Source organism: Homo sapiens, chromosome 14, assembly GCF_000001405.40.
Source record: "Homo sapiens chromosome 14, GRCh38.p14 Primary Assembly".
Taxonomy (NCBI): Eukaryota; Metazoa; Chordata; class Mammalia; order Primates; family Hominidae; genus Homo; species Homo sapiens.
Genome location: NC_000014.9, coordinates 45,164,777 through 45,181,290, shown reverse-complemented (window position 1 = coordinate 45,181,290; position 16,514 = coordinate 45,164,777). Strand labels below are relative to the sequence as shown.

At 35.9% G+C, this 16,514-nt stretch overlaps 1 protein-coding gene across 11 annotated transcripts in view; it reads right to left on the bottom strand.

Annotated features, from left to right (window-relative positions):
* Positions 1-16,514, bottom strand: part of FANCM (FA complementation group M) — a 64,961-nt gene that overhangs the window by 19,600 nt on the left and 28,847 nt on the right. For 9 of the 11 annotated variants that reach the window (XM_011537034.3, XM_017021523.2, NM_020937.4 and 6 more), the window contains 4 exons: positions 14,128-14,341; positions 10,545-10,702; positions 8,081-8,236; positions 4,315-6,220 (listed from right to left, as the gene is read on the bottom strand). In XM_011537034.3, coding sequence (XP_011535336.1) covers positions 4,315-6,220; positions 8,081-8,236; positions 10,545-10,702; positions 14,128-14,341 — 2,434 coding nt within the window. Of the gene's footprint in view, positions 1-4,314; positions 6,221-8,080; positions 8,237-10,544; positions 10,703-11,089; positions 11,665-14,100; positions 14,342-16,514 lie in introns of those variants that run through there. The other 2 variants (XM_011537037.4, NM_001308134.2) reach the window with 2 other exon arrangements.

The following is a 16,514-nucleotide window of genomic DNA, read 5'->3' as shown; positions in this document are numbered from 1 at the left end:
TGGAGAACTCTGAACAAAAAATCTAAACAAGAGACAAAAAAATTAAAATGCCAGTGAAGAAAATAAGACAATATCTTTTGCTAATAAACACATATTTGAATGAAGTTCAATTTTATAAATTAACTGAAATGAGGCCAGAAAAACACAAAAAGTAATTTCATTAGTCACTGGTTCCATTAATAGAATTTATCTCTAAAATCTACTGCAGTCTTTCTGCCCTTTGTGTCTTATTCTCTTTCTACTTGAAAGAGTTAAAGCATAAAAATGCAAGCTACAAAACAATATATTAAAAGATTCTTTGTTATATATGTGTTTTCCATATGTATTTGTGTACATGAAATAAAAATTGGTAAGATACAATTCAATACAAAATGTTGTAACTAGAACTGTACAGGCCATACTTAGTGACTTGCTTCTAAAAAAAGGATATAATGAAAATGAAGGTGTATGACTTATGAGTCTAGGTCATAAAAGGTATTGTGGCCTCATTTTTGCTTTCTCTCTTGCATCACTTGCACTGGGAGAAGTCAGATGCTTATGTTTTATGACCATACCAGGCCAGGAGTGGTGGCTCACGCTTGTAATTCCAGCACTTTGGGAGGCCGAGGAGGCAGATCACTTGAGCCCAGGAGTTTGAGACCAGCCTGGGCAACATGACAGAACCCTCTCTACAAAAAATACAATAATTAGCTGGGTGTGGTGGCACGTGCCTGTGGTCCCAGTGGCTGAGGCAGGAGGATTGCTTGAGCCCAAGAGACAGAGGTGGCAGTGAGTCGTGATTGCACCACTACAATCTAGCCTGAGTGACAAAGCGAGACCCTGCCTGGTGGGGGAAAAAACAAAAAACAAAAAAAAAAACACCACATACTTATCAAACTACCCTACGAAGAGGTCCACATGGCAAGAAACCAAGGTCTCCTACTAACAGCAGTATGACTGAGCCATCTTAAAAGCAGATCCTCCAAAGCTATTCAAGCTCTCAGATAACTGCAGCCCTGGCCAATGTCTTGACTATTACCTCATGAAATATCCTAGGCCAGAACCACTCAGCTAAGCCACATTTAAACTCCTGTTGTATAGAAACCTTGAGGTAACAAGGGTCTGTTATTTTACATCGTTAAGTTTTGCAGGTAGTTTGCTATGCAGCAATAGATAAATAATACAGATTTTGGTACCCAGAAATAGGGAGTTGCCATAACAAAAACCTAAACTGGGAAAGTCGCTTTGGAACTAGACAGTGGTGGATGCTGAAAGGACTTCAGTTTTAGTGAACGAAGGCTTGAAGAGCCTCAAAGAAATTGTAGGAAGGTTAGTTGGCCATTGAGGAAATGGTGGGTGAGGGCTTAAAGAAAAGTAGGAAAAATCTTAAATCCTTTAATGTAGTACCAGAAAATTTGGCATCATTGCAGTTAGCACGAAAAGCAAAAAATGGGCCAGGCATGGTGGCTCACACCTGTAATCCCAGCACTTTGGGAGGCAGAGGCAGGCGGATCACATGGTCAGGAGTCCGAGACCAGCCTGGCCAATATGGTGATACCCCATCTCTACTAAAAATACAAAAATTAGTCGGGCGTGGTGGCAGGCGCCTACAGTGCCAGCTACTTGAGAGGCTGAGGCAGGAGAATCGCTTGAACCTGGGAGGCAGAGGTTGCAGTGAGCCGAGATCGTGCCATTGCACTCCAGCCTGGGTGACAGAGTGAGACTGTCTCAAAAAAAAAAAAAAAAAAAAGAAAGAAAGAAAATGATGTACCTAATCTATGAGAGGTGATCTAGCTAAGACTTCCAGACAAAATGTTGCTTTTTGCTATAAGAGCAAAATGCAAAAAGAAAGACATTAAGGACAAACATAATTAGAATTTGCTGATTATGAAAACTCCCGGCCTCTCCTGATGGCGAACAATGATAAAATTAAGAAATTTTCTAGGCAAAGATCAAACCCAGAGAACAGCCAGGAAAATATTATGAAGCTGAGGGTGAGCTGAGGGTATAGTTTAAATGCTTTGTTAAGACCTCCTTAAAAATCAAAGATTGTGCCTTACAGTACTATTCAGTCAGAGAGTAAGGATTTTATTTTTATTTATTTATTTATTTTTAGACAGAGCCTCACTTTGTTGCCCAGGCTGGAGTACAGTGGCGCGATCTCGGCTCACTGGAACCTCTGCCTCCCAGGTTCAAGTGATCCTCCTGCCTCAGCCTCCTGAGTAGCTGGGACTACAGGAACGTGCCACGACGCCTGGCTAATTTTTGTATTTTCAGTAGAGACGGGGTTTCATCATGTTGGCCAGGCTGGTCTCAAACTCCTGACCTCAGGTGATCCACCCGCCTCAGCCTTCCAAAGTGCTGGGATTACAGGCATGAGCCATTGCGCCAGGCCCATTAAGGTTTTTAAAGAAGCTCCTCACAGATCCTCTCAAACAACAGGCCTTCTAAGAAGCTTATTTTATTTTACTGATTATTTTAGGCCACTGAGTTTTTTGGGGGTACTTTGTTAAACAGCAATAGATAACAAATACAAAACCACTCAGTAAATTTCTCCTCACATTCTGCTACTAAAACATCTACCCAGACAGACAAACTTGAGTGATTTCCTTTTTGCAGATGAACAATATATAAATCAACTAGTTTTTCTTTTTTCATTACCTTATAAGGAAGCCAAAGTTAAATGCAGGACTCGGCTATAGTAACCAACTCATTCTAGGAGGCTTTCTTTTTCAGTGCTTTCATGATGTTTTAATGAACTATGTTTTTCATATATAATACAGAAAATGAGCTTAAATTCTGTCTTGAATTAAGTAGAATAAAAAATAACTAAATGTTCTCTAATAAATAATTCCATGATACGTGTTTGTAATTATTTTGCCCATGATTTGTAGTTAAGTACAATCCTAGAAAAAATGTTTTTGTGCAAATCTGACGCAAAACCAGAAAAATTATCTCACTCATTAACGTGGACTTCATATAGAGGTATTAAAGCAAATATTGAAGGCTCACAGGCATCATACACTTTGAAAAAATATATATGTCATGGCACAACCCCAGACTATATAGAATAGTCAGGTTTTGAAAATTAAATGTATTTCCAGTACTTACTTCCAACATGCTTTCATCTTAAATAGAACATTCACGAACCATGTCCTCCATGCTAACGAGAATAATGTAAGGAAAAGATTTACAGAGGAAATGTTCCTTTTATCCTACAGCTACTTTTTATTCAGCTTTTAACATAAGGAGTAAAATTCATAAATGACTTGATATAATAATCTGTAGAGTTGTATTATACAGCACGACTTCATATCAAACATCTATCACTATATCATCTAGTTTTTCTGTAAGTGTAATGGTTAGATTACAGAAACCCAGAGATTTCTCTGATTTTTTGTGGTCTGGTCTCAATCTTCTGAATACAGTTTTTATTTCTCAAATATTTTGCTGCATAAAACTATTACTTCAAACTATCTCCCAAAATCATACTTTCCTTCTTTCCCCTCGCTTTCATCATTTTGTAACACCTAAATTATGTCTTTAGTATCTTCAACATACCAAAAGCATAAATATTCCCAAGGAACCCAAATGAAAATCTACACTATATATAAAATCTTGGCCAGGCGCAGTGGCTCACACATGTAATCCCAGCACTTTGGGAGGGTGAGGCGGGTGGATCACCTGAGGTCAGGAGTTCAAGACCAGCTTGTCCAACATGGTGAAACCCCACCTCTATTAAAAATACAAAACTTAGCCGGGCATGATGGTGGGTGCCCATAATCCCAGCTACTTGGGAGGCTGAGGCAGGAAAATCACTTGAACCTGGGAGGCGGAGGTTGCAGTAAGCCGAGACCATGCCATTGCACTCCAGCCTGGGCAACAAGAGCAAAACTCCGTCTCAAAAAAAACAAAGAAACAAAAAAAGTCCAATCTAATCAACCTCAAAATTTCATCATCCTCTGAACCTCCTAAACAGCCACTCTCTTATTATTCATTTGGTAGTTATTTCCACATTTTACTGGCATCTTTTCAAATACGTATGTCACATAATTATGTTTTACAACCAAGACCTAGGGCCAGATCTTACTCATCTTCGTGTATTTCATAATGTCTAGCAAGAATAACTTTTTCCATACCATGCGTGCCATAAGTATATGTAAATAAATCTAATATTAGTAAGATCATCTTAAGAAAAATATAACACATCAATTATCTAATTCAATATTTATATTGTACCATGTACTAAAAAATTACATTTGGAAAAATTACCAAAGTATTTCTAGAGTAATTATTCTAGAAAGAGTTATAGACTTTATAAAGATGGAATCTTACCTTCAACAGAATGACAGGATTTATGCAGATACATTGGACCACTGCTTTTAGACTTTTCTAGAGAAAATTCTGAATAATCAAAAGTTGAATTCAATGCTTCTTTGAATCTTTGTAGGTTTACTTTTTCCTTACTAGAATCTGGTGTCTTAAGTATTTCCTTTCTTATCTTAGAAAATGAGTTCAATGTGTTTGATTTAGAGAGTGGTGTACTCATAACTTTTTTTTGCACTGGTAAAGAAAACTGAGAATAACCAGGAGATAACAATTCTTCATTTTTTGCTGCACTCAGTGGCAAATGTACATAATTTGGATTCTGCATATCTTCATTTGATGGGATAATAACAGTTCCACTAGTAAAATTTTTACTATGATCTCTTGGTATTAGTGCTTGATTCGAAACATAATTTGCATCACTTATCTCCTTAATTTCCAAATACCTTCCATATAGATCATCTAGAGGTCTATTGCTATCTGATGTATGTTCCAATATTTCATCATCAGAATCTGGACTACAGAATCCTAAATCAAAGGTAACAGAAAATAAATCCCTAGAGCAATCAAAAATATCCTCATGATTCTTCACTTTTTCTTCCTGTACACCTCTCTGATCACGAGATTTAAAACTATTAGCATCACGGGTGATTTGATCTTGGAGTTCAGAATTATTGTCCAACAAAAGTTCATCAGAAATTAAGAACTGAGAGACCAGAGGCGTTTCACTAATAGCAGTTTTGTCTGACACAGGTAAAGATTCGCTTTTACTGTTCAAGGGTGAAAGACTCACATCGTCGAACTCTGTATTAACATCTTCAAATAACAGCAAACTTTCATCTTGATCAGTGGACAATACTGGGAGGTCACTGTTATCAACATCATGATTGTTCTCTCCAACTAAATTCTGTGCAGGGCTTCTGTGTATTTGAACACGATTGTTAGGTACTAAATTTTCATTTTGATTATGTTTATGTACATCACAGTCACAGAGACTTGGCTCATCAGAAATATTATCATTAGGTATATCATAAAGGCAACTTTTTTCAGATGGATAATTTATACATTTAAGTGAATTCAATTCTAAATTCTGTTGAGAATTCACAGCTGAATGTGACAGCAAACAGGTGCATTTATCACTTCGTAAATGCTCTGCACAGGGTAAGAAAAGCAAATTCTCAAGTGCAGTACCCTTAGCAATTTCATATTCCAAGTCTGAGAGTCCACTGAGAGGCGGAGGAGAATAAGATAAAAATCTCTCTACATTAGCTAGTACCTCTTTTGTCAATGAGTGACAATTATAAAATTGGTCATCTGTTCTAACAATATAAAGCTCTTCTTCGAATGGAAGAAATAAGTTAGATGAAACAGATTTTTCATCATTGAAACTGTTATAACCAGAATCTAAAACATTTCCAGCAAGTGAACTAGTGGATTTATTTGTAAACTGACACTCTGTTAATAACACACACGGTTCTTTAATAACATTTTCATTAATAGTACATGTGGCAGCAATTTCATCTGTATCTGATGTCCTTTTATCATTTGGTAGGTCTTCTTGAAAAATATTTTCAACAGTGGAATTTCTGTCATTATCTACAGAATCTATAATACCGTGATTATTTTCTTTTTTAAGCTGATCTTTTTTTATTTCTTTAGACACTTTTTTCTTTAAAGAAACAATTTTAGTAGGTTTGATATGAGTTTGTTTAACAATTTCAGCACATTCTTCATCAGATTCTATCACTGAGGATGAACTGCCTTGATTTATGTTCTTTATAAATGACGATTTCTTGTGAGTGATAAAGGTGTCACTGGCAAGATTATTAGATTCATTCCTGGGAGCAATAAATGTTGAGGTAACATCTTCCATTTGTAAATAAGATTCAACTTCCAATTCATAGCTGCATTCTCCCTATAAATAAGGAAAATTTAAAAAGCCACAGGAAAACAAAACAAAACAGAAAGCCAAATCTAAGAGAGGAGTTTCACTCTATATTAAAATATTTATATTATTACATTGTTCCAGTGATATTCTTTTATACCTTAAAAGTTATTCCGATAAATCAAAATTATAAAGTACACTACTGTGAAACTATCAAGTTATCATTAATCAGTTAACTTTTTTGTATCCCCAGTACTTAATACCCAAAAGACCCTTGGTAACTATTTGTAGGAAGAACAAATTGAATGAATACATAAGAATATAGTGAGTTTTACATTTCTAACATTTAACTGAATTATTCTAATTTCTTAAAAATAGATATTTTAAAAACATATATTAATAAAAACCATATACATTTGTTAAATTTACTCTTTCAATGACAGTAAACTAAGAATAGCTTTTGGAATGTCCAACATAGTAGTACCTGTATGTCTGCTAGGTTGTATCCTGGAATATACTTCTATTTGTAACAAAGTTCCTAATCAAGGATTCGTATAGTGAATTTCTAAGTCTTACTTATCTCTAAGTTATTAGCTAAAACTTACAATCTCCACCATCCCTCCTTTCCCCTAAGAATGCTACTTTAATCAGGATTCCTCTACTACTTATAGACTTAAGCAGTTACCTCTCTGGTTTTTTTGTTTTTTTTTTTTTTAGACAAAGTCTCGCTCTGTCGCCCAGGCTGGAGTACGGTGACTTGATCTTGGCTCACTGCAACCTCCGCTTCCCGGGTTCAAGTGACTCTCCTGCCTCAGCCTTCTGAGTAGCTGGGATTACAGGCATGTGCCACCACACCCAGCTAATTTTTGTATTTTTAGTACAGACAGGGTTTCCTCATATTGGCCAGGCTGGTCTCGAACTCCTGACCTCAAGTGATCTGCCTGCTTCGGCCTCCCAAAGCCTGAGATTACAGGCATGAGCCACCGCACCTGGCCCTCTGCTTTTTTGAATAATAAATATAATAAGCATTAATGTGAGCAAATGTCTGTCTCCCTGCTAGTATATATACTCCACATAAACAGAATATTTTCTCTGTTTGCTAACGGTTATAGCCATAAAGCAGGGAATAGAGTGTGGCACACAGAAGGCACTCAATAAATATATGTTAATTTGATTGCACACATTTTGCTGGGATCCACATCTAACTACTTTATTTACATGTATGCATGATCAAAGGCTAATAATAAAAATAGGAGCTACAATTTACTGTGTACTTATCATATGCCAGCTACTACGTGCTTTACATATATTAGGTCATTTAATCCTCACAACAACCTTATGAAATAAGTATTATCACTATGACTATTTTACAGATAAAACTGAAGCACTGAGAGGTTAAATAACTTACAAACACACAATCAGTAGGAGGCAGAGTTAGGATTCTAACCCAGGCACTATGGATTTCACACTCATAATTGGTTCACTATGCTGACTCTAGGAAGAATAATCAAGGAACTGCTCAAGGAATCTATAATTCTCTAAACTAGGACCAGGATACAAGAAAGATATCAAATAACCTAGATGACAGAGAGTATTTCAATAAATCCGAATCCAAAAGAATCCTAAATAAGGTTTACAAACAGTTTACATAAATCATTTAAGTATATTAAAATTCTACTCTGGTCTATCAATATTTACAGATGATATTCTTCTTCTAATTAATTAAATCTATTTCTTCTCTTAAGGCAGAAAACTCATTCTTTACTGAGATCACAAGGAACTATACAGAAAAACAAAGTATTTCTTATTACTTCAAATTAAGAAAAATAAAAGCTAAGTACTCTAGTTTTACTATCATACCAGCAAGAGAAAGTTACAATAAAACCCCACCTCTTCGTGTCTCATTCCCTCTATCATTTGCATAAGGCCTATAAAATGGCGGCATCGATCTGAGTGATCAACTTGATGTGTAGGCAAAGGATGATCTTGCCACAGTCTCCATTCAGAGAGAGAGAGTTGATGAATTCCAGTGGTTGATTCTTGAGCCTTAATTATTTAAAAAGTAATAAAAATGATGAAAACATACTGAGATTTCACAAACTAATTTTAAAAAACACTCAATATACATATAATCAGCTTAACATAATTTGGATCCATTTAGATACTCCCAACTAAAATCTCAGAAGAAAAAAAGAAAATAATTTCATAAAGCAGAAAGATGCCCTTTAAAATATATTTGTTAAGTAACTGTTATATGACTTACAAGTTGACAATATTCCTGTTTATATAGTTCCATGTTAAGAGCAAACAGTTAAATATTTTAAAAGAAATCTTTTCTGAGGTTGTTTTCCCAGCTCTCCAGGCACATCTACAACCTTTGATCAGTTCTCTTGACTTTCACAAAGTTAACAAAGAATTTGTTAATAATAAACAAAATAAACAATAACATCAAATTTAAAGTTTTAAATATAATTTCAAAACAAAAATTTTATTTTTTGTTTTGGTTTACAAGGATGCTTATGAAAGCATAATTTATGTTTACAGCCAACTGATCTTCAACAAAGCAAACAAAAACATAAAGTGGGGAAAGGACACCATATTCAACCAAATGATACTGGGATAACTGGCAAGCCACATGCAGAAGAATGAAACTGGATCCTCATCCCTCACCTTATACAAAAATCAACTCAAGATGGATCGAAGCCCTACCTCTAAGACCTGAAACCATAAAAATTCTGTCACATTGAAAAAACTCTTCTAGACATTGGCTTAGGCAAAGAGTTCATGACCAAGAACCCAAAAGCAAATGCAACAAAAACAAAGATAGATGGGGCTAAATTAAACTAAATGCTTTTGCACAGCAGAGTAAACAGACAACCCACAGGGTAGGAGAAAATCTTTGTAAAATATGCATCCAACAAAGGATTAATATCCAGAATCTATAAGGAACTCAAATGGCCAATAAACATATAAAAAATGTTCAACATCACTAATTATCAGAGAAATACAAATCAAAACCACAATACAATACCACCTTACTCCTGCAAGAATGGCCATAATTAAAAAAATCAAAAAATAATAGATGTTGGAGTGGATGTGGTGAAAAGGGAACACTTTTACACTGCTGGTGGGAGTGTAAATTAGTACAGCTACTAGGCAATACAATACGGAGATTCCTTAAAGAACTAAAAGCAGAACTACCATTTGATCCAGCAGTCCCACTACTGGGTATCTAATCCAGAGGAAAAGAAGTCATTATATGAAAAAGATACTCGCACACCCATATTTATAGCAGCAAAATTCGCAACTGCAAAAATATGAAGCCAGCCTATATGCCCATCAATCAGTGAGTGGATAAAGAAAATGTGACACACATGCACACACACACACACACACACACACACACACAACATGGACTACTACTCAGCCATAAAAAAAAGAATGAAATTATTACATTCGCAGCAACCTGGATGGAGTTGGAGACTATTATTCTAAGTGAAGTAACTTAGGAATGGAAAACCAAACATCGTATGTTCCCATTTAGAAGTAAGAGCTAAGCTATGAGGACACAAAGGCCTAAGAATAATATAATGGACTCTGTCGTGGACTCGGGGGGAAGAGTAGGAGTGGGGCAAGGGATAAAAGACTATACATTGGGTGCAGTGTACACTGCTCGGATGATGTGCACCAAAATCTCAGAAATCACCACTAAGAACTTATCCATGTAACAAAACAGCACCTGTTCCTCAAAAACTATTGAAATTTAAAAAAAAAATGGTTTACAAGGATGCTTATGAAAGCATAATTTATGTTAGTAAAATACTGAAAAAGCTAGATGCAGTGGTGTACACTTATAGTCCCAGCTACTTGGGAGGCTGAGGCAGGAGGATCACTTGAGTCCAGGAGCTGATGGCCAGCCTGGACAACAGAGCGAGACCTCATCTCTTAAAAAAAAAAAAAAAAGTTGAAAAGAATCCCAAAACACAATAGGTAAATAGTCAAGCAAACTATGGTATATCACAGAGTAAAGTGACAACCATGTAAGATTATGCCTATATAGAAATGTTTAAATGACAGTAATGAAAGAAAGGCATAATTTATGTAAAAATATCACAGTTGGTTAAATACATATATACAATAAATAATAGAAGAAAATTAGTAGTTTTGTAAACTTAGACTTTAATGATTTCTTACACTGATTACATTCTTAATTTCTTAAAGTAAGTTGACATTCCAATCACAATTATCTCATTATTCCCAAAGCTATTGCTTGATCATTATAAAGAACATCTGAGGGGTTCTGGCATTAAAATGAGGGGGGGGAAAAGAACATCTGAAAATATATTCAACTTACTGGTTTGTTTTCCTCATTTTGTAAAGAAGAAAACTGAACTTGAGGCAATGTTATCTCTTTAATTTCATCACTGTCCCTTAATCTATAAAGTCTGTTCCATAATTTAAATTCTTCTTCTGATAAGAACCAATCTTTCTTTAGGCTACTTTGCCTCATTCCTATAAGTTGAAAAAATAATGGAAAAGAGACTTTTTAAAAATCTGCAAAGCAAAAAAACCCACAATATCCATTCAAACTCTGTCACCCAGGTTGGAGTGCAACAGCACATTCATAACTCACTGTAACCTCAAACTCCTGGGTTCAAGCAATCCTCCTGCCTCAGCCTCCACAGGAGCTGGAATACAGGCTCATGCCACCAGGCCCATCTACTTTTCTTATTTTTTGTAGAGATGAAGTCTTGATATGTTGCCCAGGTTGGTCTCAAACTCCTGGGCTCAACTGATCCTACCTCAGCCTTGATTCTATTCCTTAAAACTAGTATTCTTCATAAAAAACCACTCAGTTTATTACTTCATGCTTCTAAATGTCTCCTAAACTTCTCTTACCTCTGAAAGTACCCATCTGTCTAGGAGCTATCCTTTGGTAATGAATCCATTAACAGAACAGAGCCAGGTACCTTGGCTCTCAGTCCTGGCTTCTTTTGGACTCTTTTCATTTGGTTGCCTAAGACCTGGCATGAAACAGAGTAAGATAACTCACAAATGAAAAACTGGTATTATGATTCTATCATAGCAGTATTGGAAAGTTCATCTGAAGCTTGGTGGGGGTGTTGAGAGTGGGCAGGAAAGGCCAAGACTTTTAAAAGGAGTATGTATCTTAAGTCTTAAATGGGGGTTGGGGCAAAATGAGTAAAGTGTAGGGGGAACAGACTTGTTGCTTTAAAAAAGGACATAATAGACTTTTAAAAATATGTATAGTATATTCATTCTTTTCAGCTTCTATAATCTCTAAGAATCACCAAACTGAAAAGGCTAAATAGTACAAAGCAGTAACTCTGGCTAATACAGATGAGAGCAGAAAAATTGAGACGCTACTGAATTAAAAATCAGGAAACTGGCTGGGTGCAGTGGCTGACACCTCCTCCTTGGGAGGCCGAGGAGGGAGGATCAATTAAGGCCAGGAGTTTGAGTCCAGCCTAGGCAACACAGCTTGACCCCAAGTCTAAAAAAATAAAATAAAATTAGCTGGGCATGGTGTTGCATCCCTGTAGTCCTAGCCACACAGGAGGCTGACAGGAGGATCTCTTAAGCCCAGGAGTTGAGGCTTCATGATGAGCTAGGATCATGTCTCAGGTATTCCAAACTTGTGTAAGAAGCTTTTTAAAAATGTAAAAAATAAAAAATTAAAAATGAAAAAAAAAAAACAAATAAATAAATAAAAGGCTTCTCTGCATCTGTTTCCTCATCTGTAAAATAAGGGGGTTTGAACTAAATGATCTCTCAGGCCCCTTTCAGACCTGACATCCAGAGACTCTAAGATTTCGAAATAGGCAGGTACCCCCAGTCCCTTAAAATAAACTCAGAGTGGCTGGGTACAGTGGCTCATGCCTGTAATCCCAGCACTTTGGGAGGCCTAGGTAGGTGGATCACCTGAAGTCAGGAGTTCAAGACCAGCCTGGCCAACACGGAGAAACCCCGTCTCTACTAAAAACGTAAAAATGAGCCAGGTGTGGTGGCATGTGCCTGTAATCCCAGCTACTTGGGAGGCTGAGGCAGGAGAATTGCTTGAACCTGGGAGGTAGAGGTTGCAGTGAGCCGAGATCATGCCACTGCACTCCAGCCTGGGCGACAACACGAGACTGTCTCAAAAAAATAAAATAAAATAAAAAATAGTCAATTCAGAGCTCTAAGCTCAGATGAATTACATACTAGTGTATATAATATATACTACAAATACACTATATATAATACTACATATACTATATATAGTATATAATATATACTATATATTTTAATATATATAAAATATATACTATGTATAAACACTAGTATATAGTTAGCATACATTAGCAAAATACATAGTAAATACACTAGTATATATTTTATATATTAGTATAAATACACTAGTGTATTTATATACTAGTACAGAATTATAGAATTATTCCATACATAAATCACATAATCTAAGATAAATCTTTGACACTTGAAAAATCAGAGAAAAGGGGAAGAAACAAGTATAGAAAAATGAACATAAGTTAACATTATCTCAATTTTTTAAAAGGATAGGTTCCAGATATTCACTAAAGAATTTGCCATCGACCTCAGTAACATTTTAGAAATAATTATTAAATATAAGATTAATTAGCAACTATAAAAAATATAATGATCACTAAAAATGATTTATCCAACCTAATCAAGTTTTGATGCTTTTATTAATTTATCAAATTCAAGAAAACTCAAAAGACATGCTGTGTTTTTATTTTAACCAAATAATTGGCAAAATCTTGAAAAATGACAGGTATGTTCCTATTAAGTGCATTTGTATTAAGTTTAATAGACATAGCCAAAAAAACATTGATTGACGGCTCTGAGTTAAGGGAAAGAACATTAACAAATCTGAATTGAAAGCAAGTAGTAGGAGGGTAAGAACCTTAAAAATGCATGGTATGACAACAGTGGAACAAACAGTTGAACAAACATAAAAGGTATGGCCTTCAAATATATAGAGAACTGTTATAAAGGTAAACCAAAGATGAAAACTGTACTTTTTATCTAAGAAACCAGATCAATGAGAAAAAGGTACAAAGACACAGATTTTTCAGCGTAAGAGTCTTCTACTATACAGGGCCGTTCAACAATGGAATGAACCCTCTAAAGAAATATAATTTATATTAACAGAGGTATTCAAGTTGAGACTGGCTATGCATTTAAAACAAGAATGATGCAGAAGCATTCCTACCTTGATAAGTAATTGGACCACATGACTCCCAAGGTTCCTTCCAAATGTTAGTTATATGATTTTTATGATTGTTTAAAACCCACTTCAGAGATTAAGTAAAATCCAAAAAATAAACATTTTTTCTCACTTTCATAGTGCAAATATCTCAAGATATTTGAGAAAGGTAACCAGCTAACACAAATGGCTACCTCAATTACCAGGTAAATATGGGATAAACTATGAAGGAATGTATAGCAAATGGTGCCCTCTTACATGAGGACAAGTTACTATTAATATTGACAACATGTATGTAAAGGATTCTAAGTGCTTGGGGATACATATAGGGAATTTCTTTCTGTCTTGGTATTATCTTAGTACATTATCTTCAGCGCACATTGTAATCTGGTTTAATGCTTATTAAAAAATAAAACTGTTTTCTTTCTTTTCTAAACTTTATGGAGAACATTCTCTGGGTTGGTAGGGTATGTTTAATTTTCCCCAACACTGAGTTTCTGTCACTCTATACTACCAGTGTCTCTCCATTTGCCACATGAATAATCTCGTACAGCCTTTCCAAAGAGAATGCCTATAATATATTAATTAGAACATATATTCAGTTTTTCAAACAAGAAATATTATATCAAGATACGACCTGCTAAGTAAGAACAGGGGAAAAATGCATGTGTCAAATGCAAAATTTATTTACCATCCCTATAGGAAAAGATAGATGACTTTCGCTGCAAGTTCCGAGAAGGCTTCTCTGGTTCATAGACACCATGTGTGATGAACATTTTGTGTAATTTTGGGTTGATTCCATCAGGAACCATTCGTGGACTTCTTTGGTAAAAATGAAGGACCTGCCTGTTACTTGAAATAGCTTTATATATACTTCTTTTGTTGGACTGACTCTGATTATAAATCTGTAAAAACAAATAGAAAATGTCAGATTATATTACTTTTATAAATAACAATTTATCCATAACAAGCAATTATTAGTTTGGATTTATTGTAAACATAAAATTAAACCCCGATCCACTTAAATACTTAGAAAATGGAGCTTCTGTTGTCTTGAATTTTTTTTTTTTTTTTTTTGAGACAGGGTCTTACTCTGTCATCCAGGCTCTGGAGTACAGTGCTGTGATCAGGGCTCACTGCAGCCTCAACCTCCTGGGCTCAAGCGATCCTCCCACTTTAGCCTCCTGAGTAGCTGGGACTACAGGTGTGAGCTACCACACCCAGTTAATCTTTATTTTGTAGAGATGGGGTCTCCCTGTGTTGCCCAGGCTAGTCTTGAACTCCAAGGCTCAAGTGATCCTCCAGCTTTGGCCTCCCAAGGTGCTGAAATTACAGGCGTGAGTCACTGAGCCCAGCTGTCTTGAATTTTAAAACCTATCAGTAAACTGTTAGATTAACCTTTAATGGAAATCATTTCAGGCTGGGTGCGGTGGCTCACGCCTGTAATCCCAGCACTTTGGGAGGCCCAGGCGGGCAGATCACGAGGTCCGGAGTTCAAGATCAGCCTCGCCAATATGGTGAACCCTCGTCTCTACTGAAAATACAAAAAAAAAAAATTAGCCGGGCATGGTGGCATGCGCCTGTAGTCCCAGCTACTCAGGAGGCTGAGACAGGAGAATCGCTTGAACTCAGGAGATGGAGGTTGCAGTGAGCTGAGATCATGCCACTGCCCTCCAGCCTGGGTGACACAGCAAGACTCCGTTTTTTTTGTTTTTTTTTTTTTAAAAAGAAAATCATTTCAAAGTCCATTATTACAAAAGCCCACCTTAGCAGTTATACTGCATAAAGTAAATCTATCTTTGTTAGCTTGCTGTTTTTAAAAAAGACTGATATTTACATAGAAGTGTAAGGTTGTCTTGTGTTTTTTTAAAACTATTCCCTTATTTCAGTTTGTTCGTTTTTCTACATTTCAGTTTCCTTCCCTGTATACAACAAAAGCGTTACTCCCTTTGCAGGGTGCTGACAGGATTAAATACAATAATGAATCTGAAACTTGGAACATTACGCAGCACAATGTAAATACTGAGTAAACGGGGCCACTGTTACTATTTTACAGATAAGAAACCTAACAAGTGAATGGAGAGGTTAAGTAACTTGGCTAGGGAATACAATTAGAACCCAATTCCACTCACTGATATTACACGGCCTTTTACCAAACATTTCATTAGGATCATTTTATGGATAAACTAGATGTTACATATGAATATGCTATAATCACATGAAAAGTATTAGAGAAATAATTCATTTTTCAGGATGATTTTAAAGAGTATATAAAATATTTAAAATCAGTTTGTTTTTTTCTTTCTGGAGATGGAGTCTCGCTCTGTTACCCAGGCTGGAGTGCAGTGGTGGGATCTTGGTTCACTGCAACCTCTACCTCCCAGGTTCAAGCGATTCTCCTGCCTCAGACTCCCAAGTAGCTGGGATTACAGACGTGCGCCACCACACCTGTCTCGTTTTTGTATTCTTTTAGTAGAGACGGGGTTTCACCATGTTGGCCAGGCTGGTCTCGGACTCCTGACCTCAAGTGAGCCTCCTAAAGGTACTGGGATTACAGGCGTGAGCCACCATGTCCAGCCTAAAATCAGTTTTTAAAAATTATCATGGCTGTTAAGACCTTTAATGTGAATCTATATATTTGGCTGCTGAACTAGTCTCGATAAGTTACAAAAGTTAGTTAATACTTTAGTGTAACAAACACAAAATAATATTTTATGTAACATCTTATTTAGAAAGGCCTGTCACTCAAGATTGTAGCACAGTATGAATATAACTCAAGTTCCTTATCACTTAAAATAGGCATCAGCAAACTTCCAAAAAGGGCCAGAAAGTAAATATTTTGGGTTTTTCAGGCTTCATACTGTCTCTGATACATGTTCTTTGTTTCTTATTTAGTCAGTTATTTTGACAGCCCTTGAAAAGGAAAAAATGATTCTCAGTTTACTATAGTTCAGAAAGAAAAGTAAACTAAACACAAAGCACAGGCCTTCTTTAGAAGCACAGGAAAATAGTAAAACAAAGTAATAGATATTGGTTTTTAGATCTAGGTATCTCTGAATTACTACTTAAGTATTAAAA